The sequence below is a fragment of the Homo sapiens genome, chromosome 2, assembly GCF_000001405.40.
Source record: "Homo sapiens chromosome 2, GRCh38.p14 Primary Assembly".
In the NCBI taxonomy this organism is placed as follows: domain Eukaryota; kingdom Metazoa; phylum Chordata; class Mammalia; order Primates; family Hominidae; genus Homo; species Homo sapiens.
The window spans coordinates 11,350,542-11,372,479 of NC_000002.12; the positions used below are offsets into that span (position 1 = coordinate 11,350,542).

At 46.6% G+C, this 21,938-nt stretch overlaps 1 protein-coding gene across 1 annotated transcript, besides 1 other annotated feature; it reads left to right on the forward strand.

Annotated features, from left to right (window-relative positions):
* The first annotated feature begins 1,085 nt into the window (after positions 1-1,085).
* On the forward strand, positions 1,086-21,254 carry PPIAP60 (peptidylprolyl isomerase A pseudogene 60). Its single transcript, XM_047446546.1, has 4 exons — positions 1,086-1,579; positions 3,062-3,068; positions 14,605-14,748; positions 21,159-21,254. The coding sequence occupies exons 1-4, from the start codon at positions 1,086-1,088 to the stop codon at positions 21,252-21,254; spliced, it is 741 nt and encodes a 246-aa protein (XP_047302502.1).
* Positions 6,282-6,576: a silencer, noted in NCBI's record as "tiled region #7779; HepG2 Repressive non-DNase unmatched - State 5:Enh". NCBI's record gives its function as "represses a minimal TATA promoter and a strong SV40 promoter by Sharpr-MPRA in HepG2 cells {active_cell/tissue: HepG2}" and the evidence as "EXISTENCE:reporter gene assay evidence [ECO:0000049][PMID:27701403]".
* Positions 21,255-21,938: the final 684 nt, after the last annotated feature.

Below are 21,938 nucleotides of genomic sequence, written 5' to 3' on the forward strand. Positions count from 1 at the left end.
TATGGGTTCTTTCTACACAGAGTTTGCAGTCAAGAATTGTTGATGCAAGCTAGAAATAGTGGCGTATGCCTGTAGTCCTAGCTAACTGGGAGGCTGAGGCAAGAGAATCACTTGGGTCCAGGAGTCTGAGTTTAGCCTGGGCAACATAGTGAGACACCGTCCCTAAAAAGAAACAAAAAATGTTTAAGGAATTGTTGATTGAATAGATACTCAGTGTATTTTTAATGGTTGAATGGTTGAGTGAATGTATAAATGGAAAAACACAAATAATTTTAATTCAACAAACATAAGTGCCTGAAGAGATTCACAGATAACATACTGATGCAAGAGATGTCTTCCAGCAGGGGAATCAGGGAAAAGAGGTGACACGTGGTCTGGGTCCTTAAAAGTTAGCAGAGTTGGCCGGGCGCGGTGGCTCATGCCTATAATCCCAGCACTTTGGGAGGCCGAGGCGGCCGGATCACCTGAGGTCAGGAGTTCAAGACCAGCCTGGCCAACATGGCAAAACCCTGTCTCTACTGAAAATACAGAAATTGGCCGGGTGCAGTGGCTCAAGCCTGTAATCCCAGCACTTTGGGAGGCCAAGGCGGGTGGATCACCTGAAGTCGGGAGTTTAAGACCAGCCTGACCAACATGGAGAAACCCTGTCTCTACTAAAAATACAAAATTAGCCAGGCATGGCAACGCATGCCTGTAATCCTAGTTACTCGGGAAGGCTGAGGCAGGAGAATCACTTGAACCTGGGAGGTGGAGATTGTGGTGAGCCGAGATCACGCCATTGTACTCCAGCCTGGGCAACAAGAGCGAAACTCCGTCTCAAAACAAAAAAAAGAAAAGAAAAGAAAAAGAAAATACAAAAATTAGCTAGGTATGGTGGAGTGCGCCTATAATCTCAGCTACTCGGGAGGCTGAGGCAGGAGAATCACTTGAGCCCAGGAGGCGGTGGTTGCAGTAAGCTGAGATTGTGCCACTGCACTCCAGCCTGGGCAACAGAGTGAGACTCCATCTCAAAAAAAAAGAAAAGAAAAAAGAAATTAACAGAGTTGGCAGACACCACAGCCACCAGGAGCCCCATACTACCAGCCATGGTCAACCCCACTGTGTTCTTCGACATCAGTGTCAGTGGCAAGCCCTTGGGCCATGTCTCCTTCAGGATATTTGCAGACAAGCTTTCAAAGACAGCACAAAACTTTCGTGCTCTGAGCACTGGAGAGAAAGGACTTGATTATAAGGGTTCCTGCTTTCACAGAATTATTCCAGGGTTTATGTGTCAGGGTGGTGACTTCACGTACAATAATGGCACTGGTGGCAAGTCCCTCTATGGGGAGAAATTTGATGATGAGAACTTCATCCTGAAGCGTATACGTCCTGGCATCTTGTCCATGGCAAAAGCTGGACCCAACACGAATGGCTCCCAGTTTTTCATCTGCACTGCCAAGACTGAGTGGTTGATTGGCAAGCATGTGGTCTTTGGCAAGGTGAAAGAGGGCATGAATATTGTGGAGGCCATGGAGCCCTTTGGGTCCAGGAATGGCAAGACCAGCAAGAAGATCACCATTGCTGATTGTGGACAACTCTGGTAAGTTTGACCTGTGTTTTACCTTAACCACCAGACCATTCTTTCTGTAGGTCAGGAGAGTAGCCCTGTATTAGTCCATTTTTATGGGGATGATAAAGAAGACATACCTGAAACTGGGAACAAAAAGAGGTTTAATTGGACTTACAGTTCCACGTGGCTGGGGACACCTCAGAATCACGGTGGGAGGCAAAAGGCGCTTCTTACATGGTGGTGGCAAGAGAAAAATGAAGAAGAAGCAAAAGTGGAAACATTTGATAGAACCGTCAGATCTCATGAGACTTATTCACTGTCACGAGAATAGCACTAAAAAGACCAGCCCCCATGATTCAATTACCTCCCCGTAGGCCCCTCCCAAAACACGTGGGAATTCTGGGAGCTACAATTGAAGTTGAGATTTGAATGGGGACACAGACAAACCATATTGTCCCCTCCACCCCATTTGCTCACAGTATCCTATAACCTTTCTGTTCTCACTGCAGTTCCCTTTGGGTTCCATGTTTTCCTTATTCCCTTCCATGCCTAGCTGGATTGCAGAGTTAAGTTTATGATTATGAAATAAAAACTAAATAACAACAGCAACAAAAATTCAGCAGAGTTTGGAAACAGAAAGAGAGAACATTCCTCCAGGCAGAATGAGGCCAGGAGTGGGAAAGTAGGAAGTAAATAAAAGGAAAAATGAGTGATGACTAGGGAAAAGGGCATACAGGTGGTCAGAAAGAGGATGGGGGGTAGTCAGTGGAAAGCAGATGAGGGAAAGCCCAGGTCCTATACTAACTTGCAATGTGATGTCAAAGAAACTACCACAGTGCCGTCCTCCAGGACTCACTGCAGTTGCAAATGTTAACATAGGATACCATCCAAGGGCTTTCTGATCGCACCACCCTCTGCTACTGTCGCGCTATGTAGGCAGGCAGGTGGGAGGGAACCTTGCAGCAGTCATGGGCAAGATCGTGTGGAACTTGCGACACAGCAGAGAGGAAGAAAGCCAGTTTGGGGGATATTTTACTCATCCACAGGCCACCATTTGTAATTAGGTGGTATATGATCATGATTAATTAAAAACTTACAAAGCATACAAAGAAGAAAACTGTAGTTAAAGTGATTGATCATTAGAATACTGGGATACACTTAGTTTCCATAAAAGCCTGCCTTATTGCAAAATGAGGACCCACTTTAAACTTCCCGGCATTTAGAGTGGCATTTTGATGGCCACGGTTGCCTTTGTCATATTCCATTTGCCTTAAACAAAGTTGGAGCCTCCAAGAAGTGAGCATGGAAGAGGACAGTCCACCAAAAGTCAGAGCTGCAAGGCTGGGAGGGTGGGCTGGTCAAGGTCCTATCTCCGAACAGGCAGCGAGCAGTGGGGATGAGGCCACCTGCAATAGAGTCAGAGAAACATGGTTCCAGGCCTGTCTGTCCCTTTTTACCTCTGTGGCCTCAGGCAAATTAACTCACCTCTCTGAGCTTCAATTTCTCTTTTAGGATTCTGGTGAGGAACAAGTAAGAGAAGGCTCAGACAGCGTTCGGCCTATGGAAAGGTACTCCAGAAAGGCTGGCTCCTTCTCACCTGGCAGAAGCTGATAGGATTCCAGCTGTTGTTTCTTTCATTCATTCATTTTCTCATTTGTTTGTTCAACAAAGATATTTATATCCTGGTAATACAGTGAAGAACAACAGAGAAATAATCCCTGTTGGCCATTATCAAACTAATGATCTAATGGAGAGGGACAGATATTAAACAGCCACTTACTGGCTGTGTGACCTTGAGCAAGTCACAAACTGCTGAACTCTTCCCTACTGGTAAAAGCTACACCACAGACTTGATTTCTGCATTAAAATAAGAAAATGTATGTGAAGGGGCCATGCAAATATAGGACTGCGGGCACACTTCCGAAGTCTGTAACCTGCGACAACCCCCAGCTTGGGTTTGGGCATGGAAGAGGAGGGGAAGGGACCCATCAGGATGACCCCCAGGTCTCACTAAGCTCCATCGGTGAAGTAACAAGATTAGTTATTGTATCTAAATGCTGTGAATTTATTTTAAGGTAGATAAAGATGGATGAGTTTAAAAAAAAAAAAACCAGAAGCAAGTGGTAGGTTAGTTTGCATTGATTCTTTTGCCCTTTTCCAGAAGGGAGAAAGGGAGGGAAGGAGGGAGGAAGGCAGAAAGGGATGGAGGAAGGGAGGGAGGGAGAGAAGGGAGGGACAGGAAGGGAAGGGAAGGGAGGGGGGAGGGAGGGAGGGAGGTAGGAAGGAAGGAAGGAAGGAAGGAAATGTGCAACTACTACTACTCAGAAGCTGAATGCCAATGACCACTGTCTTCAGGTCTTTGGATTCTTATTGACATTCGCATGGATAGTGTTTAAACAGAGGGTGGGCTGTTATACACACAGTCATTGTTTGCTGTGGCCCAGCAGGATCTACAAGGGAAGGCCGTTCAAACCTCAACATTGATCACCCGGTGCAGAGGACGTGGCGGCCTCGTGTTTGAAGGAAAGTGGTAAACTTTGCTTTCATCAGCTCCGCCACAACCCTCAAAGAAATAGCCCTGAGACTCTGCAGGCCAGATGAGAGCTGAGAGCTCGGAAGAACTCAGTAGAGCAGAGATACTGTGGAAGTGAGACCCCAGCCCCAGAGCTTCATGCTATTGGAAGTGGTGGGAATTTCCAGAGCATCAGAGGCATCAGCCCTCGCGTAGAATCCCCACTCTCACTCCAAGACAAGAAAGTGACTTAGTGATGAGTGCAGGAGCACTCCCTTCTGGTGCCTCCAAGAATGAAAGCCGGCTGTCCTGGCTTTCTCTGTGGCCACATCCTTGGTATAAGGCAGAGTGGTATTTAGTGGACCTATTTACTAAACAACAAAATGGGGTGAATGCCTACCATGCATCAAGGACCAAGACTGGCACCAAGGGGAATGCCAAGATAAGAAAGGCAAGGTCTGGGCTGGGTGTGGTGGCTCACGCCTGTAATCCAAGCACTTTGGGAGGCCGAGGTGGGCAGATCACTTGAGGTCAGGAGTTCCGAGACCAGCCTGGCCAACATGGTGAAACATCATCTCCACTAAAAACACAATTAGCCAGGTGTGGTGGCAGGCACCTGTAATCCCAACTACTCAGGAGGCTGAGGCAGGGGAATCGCTTGAACCCAGGGGGCAGAAGTTTCAGTGAGCCAAGATCGTGCCACTGCATTCCAGCCTGAGTGACAGAGTAAAACTGTGTCTCAAAAAAAAAACAAACAAACAAACAATAAAAAGGCAAGGTCTGAGCTTCGTGATCTGGGGAGGGAAATGAGACATATGCACAGAGGCTGGCCAGGAGTGAGTGCGTGCTCAGTGTATTTATAGCCTGAACAAATGATTGAATGAATGAACAGAAGGACATAAGCACGAGCAAGCCACGTGGTACAGAAGAAAGAACACAGGCTTGTGGCATCCCAGCTCCCCCACTTCCAGCTGTGTATGAGTCTGGAGAGTTCCGCTAGCTTCTAGAGCCACTGTCCACCCTGCTCTGCGCCCCAGGGGCTGACCTCTATGGACTGCCTACTCTGGGCTCTCTGTGGTCTATCTTCTGGTTGAGCTCTGCCCAAAGGGAGAGCTGGAAAGAGATTGGGGGTGAGGACAGGGTTTTAACCCCCTAAATCCCTGGAAAGAGATTGGGGGTGAGGACAAGGTTTTAACCCCCTAAATCCCTGGAAAGAGATTGGGGGTGAGGACAGGGTTTCTTCCCCTCTGCCCCAGCTTGACCTCTGGCAGCAGCTCTGCACCTCAATCCCTGCAGCTCCGCGGACTGCATTCCATTGCTCACTGGGCCTCAGGGAGGTTATGTCCTCTCTCTGCCCTCCTGACCTCAGCTTCTCACTGTCGCTGGGGTCTCAGTGCCTCAACATTTCTTGTCTTCCTTTAATTCTGTCTACACCTCTGGAAAGAGCTCCTCTATGGAAACCATCTGAGTTAGTTCTATTTCCTGAAGAGACCCAACTTATTCAGTAAATTAGAGGCAATCACAGAACTCGTCATAGTCAGATTCCTCCACTATGAAATGGAAATAGTAGCAATACTTAGTATCTAGCACAGTTCAGTGCCTGGACATTGGCCCTCATACATGTTGGCTGCTTAAATTAGTGAATACCTGAATGAATTAATGGCTAAGAGGATTAATGATGATGTTAACATACAAGGTGTGAGAATATGGGTTTTTATAATTCTTACAAGTGGCAAATGAATGTAATAGTATCAACTTTCTTGATATTGTAAACTGGGCATGAGTCTGGAATCAGGAAAGCTAGCCCCATTCGTTTATTGTGTGATTTTGGGCAAATTATTTTCCCATTCTGTACCTCTGTTTTCTCCCCTATAAAACAAAAGGGCTGAAGGTAATAACCTGTAAGAACCCATCCGTCTTGGCCATCCTATCAAGTACTGAGCATTCAAGAGAACTGTACAATAATTTGCATTGGAGAAGCCAAGGAAGGCCTCAGGAAAGAAGCAGGAACTTGAAGAATAGAATAATAACTAGAATAGCGGAAGGATCTCCCAGGTGAGCAAGACTGGAGCAGGGGAAAGGTGGGAGAGGCCTGCCAATGCTGGTGACCATGAAGGACATCTGGCTGGATCAGAAGTTGGCTATGGGGACGTAAGAGGGAAAGGCTGGGGACATAGGCTAGGGACACATACGAAGGACCTTGACCACCAGGCCAAGAAACTCAAAGGACCCGCAAAAGGAAGGGTTCTGACTTCCTCAAGGCCCCAAAGCTAGCACAGAACTAGACTTGAGGTTTCCTCTGCTCAGCCCCGAGTTGATCAAGATCTGTCTCTTCAACTCCTGAGGGCAGCTGCCTTCTCCCTTTTGTGATTCCTTTCTTTGAAGGTCACTTGTCAAATGAGGGACGAGGGAAAATTTATTGAGTGAGGAAACCATTTGGTAAGGGATATTTTTGGCACAACAAGTCCTTGGCAAAGGACTTGTTCCTGTCATTATTCTCCTTATGTTTTAAAATCTGTTAGTTTGCCATAAAGTCAAAGGCAAGATCATCAAAAGAAAGTGATTCGCTTTTTTTTGATTACTGAAAAAAAGTGAATCTAGAAAAAATATGAGTCTTGAGCAACAATATTAATTGGAGGGTCCTGGACGTGAAGTCATAAGTATTTGAAAAAAAAATGATTAAAATTAACAATGAGAAAAATAATGCAAAACTACTGTAAGATAAGTGGAGTTATTTGAAAAATGTGTCCAGCTGTGTGAATTTAGGCAACTCCCTTCCCTTCTTGGGCCTCAGTTTCCCCATACGTCAAATAAAGGAGTTAAACACGAGGATGAGGTCTAGAAGCCTGTCCTGCCCCGACAGGGCCCATGGCTCCCATTTCACCACTCTTTTTCCTCTGTTGAGAACAGCATTCCTGGGAGGGCAGTTGCATCACTTTGGTGTCGGCTCCTCTGATCTCTGTCCCCTGTGTGGCCTCTCAGAGCACAGGGGCTGGAGAACTGAGGCAGCTGCTCAGCTCTGGCACTTTGTCCGGCTGCGGCCAGAGATGAAAGGATTCAGAGCCAGCCTGCAATAAAGCTGGGCCTCTGGGTAGAGGTCATCCAGACATGCCAGTCTCACTGCCACTGCTGGGAACAGGCCTCATCAAACCTGTCACAGATGCTCGCCAGGGGAGCCCCTCAACGCTTGTCCAGCCTCCAGTACACACCTTCAGGTCCCCACAGTGGTCATTCCAAGAGGCTCATCTGTGGTTTGTGTTATTCTCCAGCTCAAAGTGTTGGCAATGCTCCTGTGTTGAGCTACAGCAGTGTGTCCCTAAGAGACACCCATTCTGAGAGACACTCAGCTGCAGGAACACAGGTGTGGTCACTGAAGTTTGGAGAAGCAGCTTCTCTGTCTCTGTTTCCCTGACCTCCTTGCAGTGCACCAAGTCCTGCAGGAAAGAAACCTGTTTAGCCTCATCAAACCAAGCATATTTCCAAAATATAATCAACCAGAGGAGTTTTTATTTTTTTGGTTTAGTAACTCCAAGAAATGTCTCACACAAATACAGTTCCCAGTAATATGCCTTGGGAAACATGGCTCTCTGGGTGATATACTTTGTTTTTGTTGTTGTCGTTGTGTTTTGTTGTTGTTGTCATTGTGTTTTGTTGTTGTTGTTGTTGTTGTTTGTTTGTTTTTTTTTTTGAGACAGTCTTGCTCTGTTGCCCAGGCTGGAGCGCAGTGGTGCAATCTCAGCTCACTGCAACCTCTGCCTCCCAGGTTCAAGCGATTCTCCTGCCTCAGCCTCCCAGGTAGCTGGGAGTATAGGCATGCACCACCACGCCCGGCTAATTTTTGTATTTTTAGTAGAGATGGGTTTCACCATATTGGCCAGGCTATTCTTGAACTGCTGACCTCAAGTGATCTGCCTGCCTCAGTCTCCCAAAGTGCTGGGATTACAAGCATGAGCCATTGCACCCCGCCAAACCTTCTAGTGTTTAGGTAAGACTAGATCAGTCTGGTCCCTGGTAACTCTTGGCCTGTTTCTCATTACTTCCCTGTGCACCCTAAATTTCAGCTCCATTGAATGACTAGTTGGTAGCTGATGATTTGTATGAGTGAGAATGTTGCAAAAATATAAACCTGGAGAAAGAAAAAGAAAAAAAAAAGGAAAAGGAAAACGGGGCCTTAAGCAAGCATATTACCTGAAGGATCCTAGGCTTCCAGTCAAAAGAGCCAGAAAAGTCAAAGTATACTAATTATTTGCTCACTTTTTTATTGTCAATAAACTAGGCATTTCCCTCCTTTCAGGCCTTTCCTTTTGCTGTTTCCTCAGTCTAGAAATTTCCCTCCTTTCTTTCTTTCTTTTTTTTTTTTTTTGAGATGGAGTTTCACTCTGTCATCAGGCTGGAGTGCAATGGCACAATCTTGGCTCACTGCAATCTCTGCCTCCTGGGTTCAAGCAATTCTCCTGCCTCAGCCTCCCGAGTAGCTGGGATTATAGGTGCCCGCCACCACGCCCAGCTAATTTTTGTATTTTTAGTAGAGACAGGGTTTCGCCATGTTGTCCAGGATGGTCTCCATCTCCTGACCTTGTAATCCACCTGCCTCGGCCTCCCAAAGTGCTGGAACTACAGGTGTGAGCCACCGCACATGGCCTCCCTCCTTTCTTTACTTATGAAAACGTACTTATCTTTTAAAGGTTTACTTAAATGCCACCTCTGCTGTGAGCCCATCCCAAATTCCATGTAAGAGTCTATTACTCATTACTCTGTGCTCCCATTGCACTTCCCATGGACTTTTATTAGAGTATTTTCATTCTCCTTTCCCTGATGTGCATAAAATAGCTATGAATTATTGGCCTCCTCTGTGCCACTATTAGGTTATAGGCAAACGGCATACTGGCTAAAAAATAAATAAAGACAGTTTCTGTTCTCTGTGCTTTCAGGTCCCCTCCCCTCACTGAGAGCTTCTTGGATCCTGTCCTGGGAACTTTCTCCTCATGCACTGCTTTATCCTGAGTCTGTCTCCACTGCTCTGTGGAAACCTGCACATTAACTTGCTTCCTATGAAGAAAATCTGTTGAAATAAAAAAGAAAATGGTTCTGAGCCCTAAAAGGAAGGACAATGAGGTATTAATTAGCAACAGTTCCCAAATCAGGGATTTAATTATTTGGCATTCAGACAGTCAGAAAGGAAATTGAGAGTAAGGAAATAAGCAAAAAATGTCCTATGTGAATAGGCAGAGAGGCAGAGCAGATGTCATAAAGCCTGTGCACTGCATTTTAGCCTTTTGCTCAAGTCTTTATCTTCTAGACCCAATCCTAACAAACCAATGATGTATTACGAAAAAGCAGACAAAACGCATGGCGTAGTGATGCTGGGACACTACCAGAAATAATAGGGTGTGAGAGGAGTGGATGCCATAGAATTAATGCAGAAGAAAAACAGATTGGAGCCCTCTAGCGGGGGGGCAAATAGTCCTCTAGTCCTCCGAGCTTCCACCATCTCCACCTCCATGGACAGCACTACATGGTGCCCAGCATTGACAATCACAGAGATGCCCGAATTATCAGGAACATGTTAAACTACCTGCTAGATCCTCTCAGAAGGCAGCCACGTGTAGGCTGGGTGCAGTGGCTCATGCCTGTAATCCCAGTACTTCGGGAGGCTGTGGCAGGTGGATCACTTGAGCCTAGGACTTTGAGACCAGCCTTGACAACATGGTGAAACCCTCTCTCTACAAAAAATACAAAAATTAGCTCGGCATGGTAGTACGTGCTTATGGTCTCAGCTACTCAAGAGGCTGAGGTGGGAGGATCACCTGAGCCTGGGAGGCAGAGGTTGCAGTGAGCCGTGATCACACCACTGCACTTCAGCCTGGAGCCTGGGTGACAGAGCAAGACCCTGTCTCAAGGAAAAAAAAAAGGGGGGCAGGGCAGCCAAGTGTATATAAGCTATTTAAAAACAAAAACAAAGTTTTAAAAATTATGTGTTTGTTCAAAAGGTTAAGATTTTCCCCAAGATATTCTCACAGTTTGTGCCCCTTCTTCTCAGGTCTTTGTTCATTTTTTGTGTGTTTTTGTGATGGAGTCTCGTTCTGTCACCCAGGCTGGAGTGCAGTGGCATGATCTCAGCTCACTGCAACCTCTGCCTCCTGGGTTCAAGTGATTCTTCTGCCTCAGCCTCCCCAGTAGCTGGGACTACAGTTGTGTGCCACCATGTCTAGCTAATTTTTCTATTTTCAGTAGAGACAGGGTTTCGCCATGTTGGCCAGGCTGGTCTTGAACTCCTGACCTCAAGTGATCCACCTGCCTTGGCCTCCCAGAGTGCTGGGATTACCGGCGTGAGCCACCGCACCCGACCTACAGGTCTTTGTTCAAATGTCACTTCCTGAACCCCTTGATTCAAATTGCAACCCCACCCCACTCCTAGCCACCCCACGCCCAAGCCCCTTTTCTTACCATATTTTTCTTTTTTCTTTTCTTTTTCTTTTTTTTTTTTTGAGATGGAGTCTCGCTCTGTCACCCAGGCTGGATTACAGTGGCATGATCCCGGCTCACTGCAAGCTCCGTCTCCCGGGTTCACGCCATTCTCCTGCCTCAGCCTCCCAAGTAGATGGGACCACAGGCACCCGCCACCACGCCTGGCTATTTTTTTTTTTTTTTTGTATTTTTTTAGTAGAGACGGGGTTTCACCATTTTAGCCAGGCTGGTCTCGATCTCTTGACCTCGTGATCCACCCACCTCAGCCTCCCAAAGTGCTGGGATTACAGGCGTGAGCCACCGCACCTGGCCTAACCATATTTTTTTATACCACTTATCACCTAATATAATATATAACCGAGTGGTTATTATCCATGTCTAGCATCCCCCAAAAATGTAAACTCCATGAGAGTAGACGTTGGTCTGTCTGTTTAGTTTCCTGCTGTGTTATGGGGAAACTGTGCGTCTGGCACCTATAGGCCTCCATTATTATTATGATGATGATTTATTTATTTATTTTTGAGATGGAGTCTTGCTCTGCCGCCCAGGCTGGAGTGCAGTGGCGCGATCTCGGCTCACTGCAAGTTCCGCCTCCCAGGTTCACACCATTCTCCTGCCTCAGCCTCCCAAGTAGCTGGGACTACAGTCTCCCACCACCACGCCCCGCTAATGTTTTGTATTTTTAGTAGAGACGGGGTTTCACCGCGTTAGCCAGGATGGTCTTGATCTCCTGACCTTGTGATCTGCCCTCCTCAGCCTCCCAAAGTGCTGGGATTACAGGCGTGAGTCACGGCGCCTGGCTATTACTATTATTATTATTTTTTTGAGAGAAAGTCTCACTCTGTCACCCAGGCTGGAGTGCAGTGGCGCGTCCTTGGCTCACTGCAACCTCCACCTCCCGGGTTCAAGTGATTCTTGTGCCTCAGCCTCCCAAGTAGCTAGGATTACAGGTGCTTGCCACTCTGCCTGGCTGATTTTTGTATTTTTAGTAGAGTCGGGGTTTCACCACGTTGGGCAGGCTGGTCTCAAACTCCTGACCTCAGGTGATCCACCCGCCTTGGCCTTCCAGAGTGCTGGGATTACAGGTGTGAGCCACCGCACCTGGCCAGGCGTTCGTTGTTGGATGAAAGCATGAGTGAATAAATTTAGTTATTTGGAAGACATATTTACATTGTTAAAAGTCATTCTATGGAAATACTGGCTAAGGGCACAACAATTATATGAGAATTTTTTAACACAGGGCATATTAATTCATTGGCAAGTATTTATCAAGGTCACACTCTATGCAGATGCTGTGCATTGGAGATTTGCTTATTTTGTTTCCACCCACACTTTTGAGTTCCTAAAGCCTTTACCAAGTATTCCACATGCAGAGTCACTGACACACTACACATCCATGCACACATGCACGTGCACACACACAGACACACACACAGACCTGACACTCTGGTTCCTTCTTATAGCCATGCTTCGATCTTATCAGCTCTCTTATGTAAAAGTTTGACAAGTCTGGTCTATGTCGCCTTCAGAAAATTCTTAGAAATAGGAAATGATTATATTGATTAGAAATGATAATGTTTTCCCAGGAGTGAGCCTAGAATCATTATTTAACCACCGTTTATTGTAATGTTGGAGGCAGACATTGGATCTTGAGGAGTACACTGGGCATAGAGCAAAAACTTGAGTCCTAGCCCTGGATCCATCATTTAAGAACTGAATGATTCTGGCAAGTGACTTAACCACAAATAGCTAGTTCAGAGGTCTTTTTTTTTTTTTTACAGGACTTTGTAAGTTATAAAGTGCTACACAATTTTAAGGAATCATCATTATTTTGTTGAAAAGTAAAATAATGTATGACACAGCACTAGAATTAGGGATGAGATCTTGGTGATTCATGACTCTTGATATGCATGGGTATCAGTCTTGCTATCTCAGACAACTTCTGATGGAATTTGCTGTGCAACCTTCACATTTACGACCTCAGTTTCATCATGTGCAAAACAAGGTTTCTACCTAGTTCCAGCATGCTGGGATGATTTCTCTGACTGATTACAACTGACAGGATCAGTAAGTCTGTAGCAGGAATTGGGATGGATTCCCGTTGGCCCTGAAGCCTGGCGTGATGTTTCTCTAAGCGTGAAACTAAACTTTCTTAATTCATGCCCTCATTCATTCATTCAATAAATATTTATTGAATATCAGTTGGTGGCAGAGGCTGTACTAGATGTTGGGAATAACAAACGGAAGAAGACAAAAGTCCCAGTACTATCAGTGATCAAAGTTGAGTCAGAGAGCAGATTTTTTTTTTTTTTTTTTTTTTTTTGAGGCGGAGTTTCGCTCTGTTGCCCAGGCTGGAGTACAGTGGCGCAATCTCGACTCACTGCAAGCTCCGCCTCCCGGGTTCATGCCGTTCTCCTGCCTCAGCCTCCCGAGTAGCTGGGACTGCAGGCGCATGCCACCACACCAGGCTAATTTTTTTGTATTTTTAGTAGAGACGGGGTTTCACCGTGTTGGCCAGGATGGTCTCGATCTCCTGACCTCGTGATCCGCCCACCTCGGCCCCCCAAAGTGCTGGGATTACAGGCGTGAGCCACCGCGGGTGTACACACTAGGAGCCGTGAGGAGAGAGGAGCAAGGTTCAGGGGCCCACAGAGGCAGGCTTGCTCACTTTGTCTAGGAGAAACAGATGGGGCTTTGCACGGAGAAAACGTTTCAGTGGGACATCAGAGGAGAGGTGGGAATTAGCCAGGCAGGGGTGGGAAACAGGCATGGAATAATGTAGGGAAAGAATGTGGGCACACCCTGGGGTATTTCACTTTGGCAGGTGCATTGGCTGTGTGCTAGGCACTGTAGATGAAAATGCATGAATATTCAAGGCACAGAAAGCAGAAAGGATGGAGCTGATGAGGACTGGATTGTAAAATGCTTGTAGGCCATAGTTAAAACCCTTTCATGGGGACGTGTAATGGTTAAGGGCACAGACTTACTGCATTGTTGAATGCAAAAGACTACAGAGCATGTTCCCTTTGTGTAAAACTATGTACCTACACCATTCAGTCGTTCAACAGATTAACAAATACTAACTATACAAAACACTGGGGATACAGAAGCAAGTAGGACAGAATCCCTATCTCTGGGCGAAACATACCAATAAAGTGTAACAAATGTTTGATTACAGGAACGCCAAGCAGGAAGACAAATCTGGAGGATTTGGGCCAGGAGGGAATGGGCCAGGGAAGACCTCCCAGGGGAGGTGACATGTTAAGCTGAATCTTTTTTTTTTGGTGGTGGTGGGGTTGGGGGGGCACGGACAGAGCCTTGCTCTGTCACTCAGGCTAGAGTGCAGTGGCACGATCTTGGCTCACTGCAAACTCCGCCTCCTGGGTTCAAGCGATTCTCCTGCCTCAGCCCCCGAGGTAGCTGGGACTACAGTTGTGCACCACGTCACCAGGCTTATTTTTTGTATTTTTAGTAGAGACAGGGTTTCACCATGTTGGCCAGGCTGGTCTCAAACTCCTAATCTCAGGTGATCTGCCTGCCTCAGTCTCCCAAAGTGCTGGGATTACAGGCATTAGCCACCGCGCCCGGCCATTAAGCTGAATCTTTAAGGGTGACTACGAACTGTCCGGGTGACTCTAGTAGGAAGTATTCTAAGCAGAAATACGGGTGAAGGCCTGGAGATCTGAGGAGGTAACTGAGACTTTATCATGGCTGCCATGCAGTGTTCCGGGTGGGGGTCTATGGTAAAGAGTTTGGGTTTCACCCCAAGGGAAGCTGTTGCTGGATTTTGAGCAGGTGAGCAGTATGATAAGCTTTGTATTTTGGATATGCATATCTATATCCATGTAATGCACATGTCTCACCTCATCAGCTTGGTGTGCAAAATAAAGACACCCTTCCTTAATACTCAAGTCATAATGCCCAGGAGCCCCCACCCATTCAAATTGGAGGGAGGATTATATCTCTGAGATTCACTTCTCCAGATATTTCTGAAGATTCGTCTATGAATCAGACCCTTCAGGCTTACCTTGGCTGCCACCTCCCAAAGAACATGAACTTGGCTGTGTCCTTGTAGGCTGACCCCTCCATCGATGACCTGCTTCTGCTGGCTGTGTCCAGGGTGGCCTCCCTGAAGCCACCGGAGCAGAGGCCTGGTATCTTCTCAGAGCAGCAGCCAACCAGGCAGCTGGAGGAAACCCCTGGTCTCTTTTGCAGCCAAGTGAGTGTCTTCAGGACTCTACTTGCTGCCTCTGTATTGGCTGGTGCAGGCCTATTTCACCTCAGTGTCTCCCCAAGAGAAAAGGGGAGACCCTCCTCCCATGTCACATTCAGAAGAGGCCTCCTAGTAACTGGCCTGTAACTGTGACAACTCTGGTGGATCTAGGCACATAAGCAGATAGCCATTCATCAGAAGGCATGACCAAATCATCACGTGGCCATGTCGGGAGAGGCTGTAAGCTCAGCTGCAGGCCCTGTCTGGAAGCAGTGTCCCCCTCTGACCTCAGGAGGGGACACAGCCATCCTCCTGTCCAAAGATCAGTCCCAATTTCTTTCACGGCTGTCCAGGGGGAGAGCTGTTCAGGAGGATAGAGACCATTATTACCCATGCCTCTTACTTGCCATCCACATTTTGGGAGGCTGGCTGCCTGCAGCTGTCAGGGCAGCTCCTTCCCATCACAGGAACCACGTTGAGCCTCCCAAGGCCGGTCCTGGGCCTGCCCCCTCCTCCCTCAGCCCTCAGACTGGCCTAATTCCCTGCCCAGGATTATCCACTTTTCAGAATGAGTGACAATAGAAGCATCCACTTCCTGCAGGGATGCAGTACCTCCCCCATAACCTCACAGCCGACTGACTTTGGCATATTTTGCATGATTTGGTAAATGGTATATATGCATAGAGAAACTTCTGGAGTGTTGTTTTCTCAAATTTTAATAGCAGTGTCTCTGGAACTCAGGAGTTTTTACAATCTTCATTGTACTTTACTATGATATTTGATTTTTTTTCATTATAACTGTGCATCATACTTATAGGAAAATAATTTAAGCCTTGGAATCAGATAGCCTTTGGCAAATCAGATCATCCATTTCCTTATCTATTAAGTGGGAAAAATAATATTTCACAAGGTTATTGAGAAAAAAATCAATGCCATTTTTATTTTCATTCCTCATAACTGACATAATTGCATATATACACATCGTGTGATTATATTGTATACCCTGGTGGGTTTCCTTAAAACAGATTCCATTTTCCCTTTCTCTTTATTTTCCCCTCCCTCCCCTTCTAGTCTGTTCCACTCATGTCATGGCTCCAGGCTGAACCTGGGCCCATGACACAACCCACACAACCATGTTGACAACCTTGAATGCACCTTCCAAGTTTTTTTTTTTTTCCTTTTTTTTTTTTTTTAGACAGAGTCTCTCTGTCACCCTGGCTAGAGTACAGTGGCGCAATCACGGCTCACTGCAGCCTTGATCTATCCAAGCCCAGGTGATCTTCCCACCTCAACTTCCTGAGTAGCTGGAACTACAGGCGTGAACCACGAAGCCCAGCTAATTTTTTAATTGTTTGTAGAGATGAGGGTCTCGCTTTGTTGCCCAGGCTGGTCTCAAACTCCTGGGCCTCAAGTGATCCTCCTGCCTTGGCCTCCCTCTTCCATGTTTTTTTCCATGGTAATTCAATAATAAAAGTATATAGCTATATTCCCACATATAAATGGTTTTTTGATCATTTTAAAAAAGAAATCGGCCAGGTGCAGTGGCTCACAACTGTAATCCCAGCACTTTGGGAGGCTGAGGCAGGTGGATCACCTGAGGTCAGGATTTTGAGATCAGCCTGACCAATATGGTGAAAGCCCATCTCTACTAAAAATACAAAAATTAGCTGGGGCGTGGTGGCAGGTGACGGTAGTCCCAGCTACTCAGGAGGCTGAGGGAGGAGAATTGCTTGAATCCGGGAGGCGGAGGTTGCAGTGAGCTGAGATTGTGCCACTGCACTCCAGCCTCAGTGACAGAGCGAGACTCCATCTCAAAAAAAAAAAAAAAAAGAAATCATATTATACTCAATTCCATGTATCCTATGTATCCTGCTTTTCTCACTCAACAATACTTTTTGTAACTTCATCCTAGTCACGTGGCAAAGCTCTGATTTTAATGGCTGGATTCTGTTTCATAATTTGGAGATATAATTTGTCATCTGTGCCCATGTTATCAATATTCACTTTGTTTCTAGTTTTTGCCACTATGAACAATACTACAACATGTGTGTGCACTTACATACACACACTCACACTCACACACACACTCACACCCACACACACTCACACCCCCCCCCACACTCACACCCACACACACACACTCCTTTGTTATACTGATGATTTTATTTCTTTGTAATAGGCTTTCAGAAATGGGATTTCTGGGGAAAATATAGCCAGTCAACAATATTTCCAGTGTGTGCTAAGCACTAAGTGTCTTTTACATAGTAATTGCTTAATAAAGTGATGTTTGCTATTATTCTTGTTATAAGCTGGGGAGTCATATTTTGAAAAAGTGTAGTCATTTATGGGAGTCCTACTTATTTAAGATACATTTACTTTAAAGACACAGGTTATCTGTAATAACTGAACTAACAACTGTCCTTTCCTTGTTTATACAAAGTCCAAAGGAAATAGGACTGCATTGGAAAACTAAAATAGACATGAAAGTTTGCCTCCTCATTTCCTCCTTGCCATTTCAAATCCATTTCCTCAGTGAGACAGGAACCCAGAAGCTGAAGATTTTGCTCCCATAATTGGAGATTCTTGTTTCGCATTTTTAAAAAAAATTGTTATGAGCTTCTTTGCATATCTGATTTGAAAAACAAAAAGAGAGCTCATTAAAGAGTTTTTCTATTATGGAGAGGCAATAAGGAACCAACTCGTAGCTTTTCAATGAGATGAATGAATAAGTGCCTGTGTCTGCAGCCCCACATCTGCCTTCTCAGGGCAGAAGTTTGCAGGAGAAATCAGGCAATTTCTAGTCTGAAGGTTCTCCTTGTTATATTCAGCTACTCACAATGAGAATTGAGGCTGCAGCTTGTGAAGAGAGGGCAGTTTTGCAAAATGCACATTTGGTGGATTCTGGACATGAGCCATTTGACCAAAACGTCAAAGCATGACAGATTTCTAACTCCGGACTGAAATGGAAGCTTGTGCATTGGCTGAAAGCCAGTCCTGGACTCCTGGACACAGCCGAGAGCCCAGAATGTGAGGGAAATTCTGTGTGAGAAAAGGCATACCCACAGTTTTAATGAGAAGGGAAATTGGAGCTTCCATTTTCCTACTGCCTTGTTCGCTTTTTGTCTGGACACCTTTGAGCCAAAGGAAGCTGGGGAGGCCCATGTGGGTGCCCTTCCGATTCTGAGCCGTCAAACTGGCACGCTGTCCACACGGGTGGAGGCAAGCGTCAGAGTCCCGGGCTGTTTCTCAGCAATTGTCCAGCTCTTTCTGCTCTCTTGCTTTCTGTCTGGTTTGCATTTCAGTGAATGCCTAACTTCTTGTTTTCTGGCTTTTAGGCCCATTTTTGGCCCCATAATAACCTCTTGGACAGAATTGTTTTCCTAGTTTGACCCTCATCAGTCAGATTTTTTCATTTTATTTTAATCGTTTTTATTTTTATTTTTTTGAGATGGGATCACTCTATCACCCAGGCTGGAGTGCAATGGCAAGATCATGGCTCACTGCAGCCTTGATTGCCCAGGCTCAGACAATCCTCCTGCCTCAGCCTCTCCAGTAGCTGGAACTATAGGCACCACTGCCCTTGACTATTTTTAAAATTTTTTTGTAGAGATGAGGGGAATCTCGCTATGTAGCACAGACTGGTCTTGAACTCCTGGCCAGAAGTGGTCCTTCTGCCTCAGCCTCCCAAATTGTTGGGATTACAGTCGTGAGCCACTGTGCCCAGCCTGATTTTCCTGTTTTGATCCAACTCCAGTTCTAAAACCCTATTTATCTCCCAGCATCGGGTTGTCCTCTTGAAAGGGAAATTGGAAGTTACAGTGATGGGGTCAAGGGCTCAGTTTTCAAGGTGGAGGCTTAGACAGAACTCATTTCAGACCTGAAGAAGGAAAAGCTGATTGATGCTCACATGCCAACTTTGTTTCCTAGCTTGTCCTACATCCAATCTACCTTGTCTTAAAGAGGTTCAAAAGTTTGGTCCTTATCTATGGAGCAGCTACTCTGGGCAAGGCCAGGACTTATATTAACCTTGTTAGGTGCCAAGAATGGCCAGGCCTCAAAGTATCAGACCAGATAAATCCCTGTCTCCAAGGAGCTCGCAGCCTGAATTTGAAGACCCAAATATTCAGAGGAGAAATGTCTCAGTTCAAAGTTAGCTGAGTTAGCGGCCAATGGTAGGAGGATGGAGGAAATTGTGTAAGAATTCAGAGGAGGAGAATGTCCTTGGGGGCTGGAGTAGGGAGGACATAGGATCACAGCCCACCCTTGACAGGTGAGGAAAGGAAGAGATGCAACAGTTACTAAGTGCCTACTAGGTGCCAGTGTTAGCGTAAGAGATTTGGCTGGTTATCTCTGGTTATTCTTAGGACTGGGGTTGGAGGGAAGAGTGCAGTAGGCATTTCCATCAGGGAAATGGTGCAATTAAACTACTGACAGCCTGGTCTGAGCCATAGCTGACTCTATTCAAGATAGGTGCTTACCAAATACACTTCTCTGCCAGGGTAGAAACAGCCACAATCTGCGTGTATTCAAGAGCTAAGGAGCATGTTTCATTGGCTTGCTCCACAGTCACGATGAATTGTTTGAGCACCTGCAATGCTTTGAGTGCTTTGTAAATTATGAAGTGGGAGGAGATCACTGTGGATCCAGGGATCTGCTGAGGGTCTTAGCCTCACTTCACAGGCAGATGCTCAGTGGTTTCAGGGTGAGAAAGATTATGGGAACTTTTGTGGCTTTATTGAAAAATCTCACCCAAAACACCACTTCTCATCTCTTATCTAGCAAGAAGAGCAATGAAAAACAACAAAGGAGAAAATTTTAAAAATCAGACCATGTATGTTTAAGTTCTTAATACCTGTATTTATTCCTATAGTTTGTTCAACAAGTGTTTTCTCAGATGCTTCCTAAATGCTGTGGTAAACAAAATTGACAGGGCTCTGGACCTTGTGTTTACAGTCTAGTTGGAAAGGTAGACATTAAAAAAGGCAACACACAAGCGTGTGATTACAAAGCATTCTGTAAATTAAAAAAACAAAAACAAAAAAGGCCAGGCATGGTGGCTCACACCTGTAATCCTAGCATTTTGGGAGGCCGAGGTGGAAGGATTGCTTGAGCCCAGGAGTTCAATTCCAGCCTGGACAACATAGGGAGACCCCACCTCTACAAAAAATTTTTAAAAATTAGCCAAGTATGGTGGCGTGTGCCTGTAGTCCTAGGTACTAGAGAGGCTGAGGCGGGAGGATCACTAGAGTCAGGAGGTCAAGGCTGCAGTGAATTGTGATCGTGCCACTGTACTCTGGCCTGGGAGACAGAGCAGGAGAAGGCACCTGGGAGGCCTCCCTGAGAAGGTGATGTTTCACATGAGACCTCGCCAATGAGAGGATTCAAACAGGCCAAGTAGGGCATGGCACGTGCTCTTGGCCTGGTCACGTGACCCATTGGAACTAGTGAAATGGAGATAACCTGAGGCCTGAGCCCCAGGGTTGTCATGGAGATGAAACTATTTAATGTGTATAAGTCACCTGGCCCCGTGCCTAGTACATCCTGGAGGCACCGAGCAAATGTTTGCTGAATCTGGTTGGCAAGTCCCTCCCTGCCCTTGCATTCCAGGGTTCCCCATTTCTCTGTGACTTTGACCCCAGGGAACCCCACCCTTGCTGTAGATGCTTGCTGTGGCCTCTCTGGCTACCTGTAGAAACAGAGACCAGTTGGGAGCAGGGATCTGCCTGGACCCATGACCCTGGCTTCCTTGCGATGCTCGTTGATGCCTGGAGTCAGCACCTCTGTCAGCAAAGCAGTCACAGGCTGCTTCTCTCCAGAAGGAAAACTGTCAGCTCTGTCCCACCCATCCACATGAATGACAACAATACTGAACTAGAGGCAGATGATATTGGGGAATTCGTACATAGAGCAAATCATCTCTTCATTGTGCTTTATGGTTACACATACACATCTGTTTTATATCAACTGACCATCACTTGTAACTTTGTGAGCCAGACGGGCAGGTCCCAAACCATGCTGTTTCACAGCAGAAATGGAGACTCGCATGCTTGTGTGGAAAAGTGACTTGCTAAGAGTCACGCAGGTTGTCAGAGATGCAGACCTGGGCATCTGCCTCTCCTTACACCATGACATACCTTGTTGAATGACTGAGACACCAGTGACACCGGTGACAGGACGCAGGAGAGGACTTGGGGCAGGGAGGCGCCTGCTCATAACCCTCTCTGACTTCCAACTGCAAACCCTTACTGGCTGTTGTCCTCTGCCAGGCACTGTGCTGAGCCCCATGGAGGCACCAGCCTCTTCGATGGTGGCATTTTAAGGCCTACAATGGCAGAGAAACGTCGTGGAGGAGTGAGGGTATTTCCAGCCATGGCTGGAAACTGACCCTGAATCCGAGCGTTCTCTGGTCTGGACAGAGTGCCAGGCCTGTGGCAAAGCAGGTAACCTTTGAAACGGAATCTGATCTGCTGTCGGCCACTGCCCAGGCCACAGTCTGCCAAAGGGACAGCTGAACGAAAGGCTCAACTTCCTCCTTCATCAGCTCCAAGTTCCAGGACAAGAGGCAGAACCAGGTGCCACCGAGCCTGCCACAGGTAAAGCTGCTTCTCTGTCTTAGGCCTCCCTGCTCTCGTCCTCAGGGCACTTCTCACCCCCTCCATCCCTGCTGACGCTGAGTGCTATCACCCCCAAGGAAGGACGCTTCCTGGAATGCCCAGCCTGCCACCCAAGAGACTCCCCTCAGGGCACCCACTGCTGGATCCAACAGGTCTGCCCCAGTGCCAGCCCCTAGAACCACAGGCTTCTGTAAGCTTCGACTTCCACATGCAAACCAAGTACGCTCAGCCTTTTAAAGTGCAATCCTCTTTGTTCAGAATGTTCTTCCTCCTGTGGCCAGGCTGACTCCTTTTCTCAATCCTCAGGTCCCAGGAGGGCTGTCACTGCCCAGCACCTCTCCCCAACCTCCTGTGTGCTCTCTGAGCATTGTGTACCCGCTCCTGGTGCCACACAGACTCTTGCCATGACCTCTTCTTTGTCTCTGTTTCCATTGGCTGTGTCTCATTCTCCATTGCATCTGCAGCACCCAGCCCTGCACCTGGCACATAGAAGACCCTCAGTGGTATTTCATCAATAAATGGGAATGGTCTTACCCTTCCATGCCCACAGACACACTTGCACCCAGACCTCTGCAGCCCCTG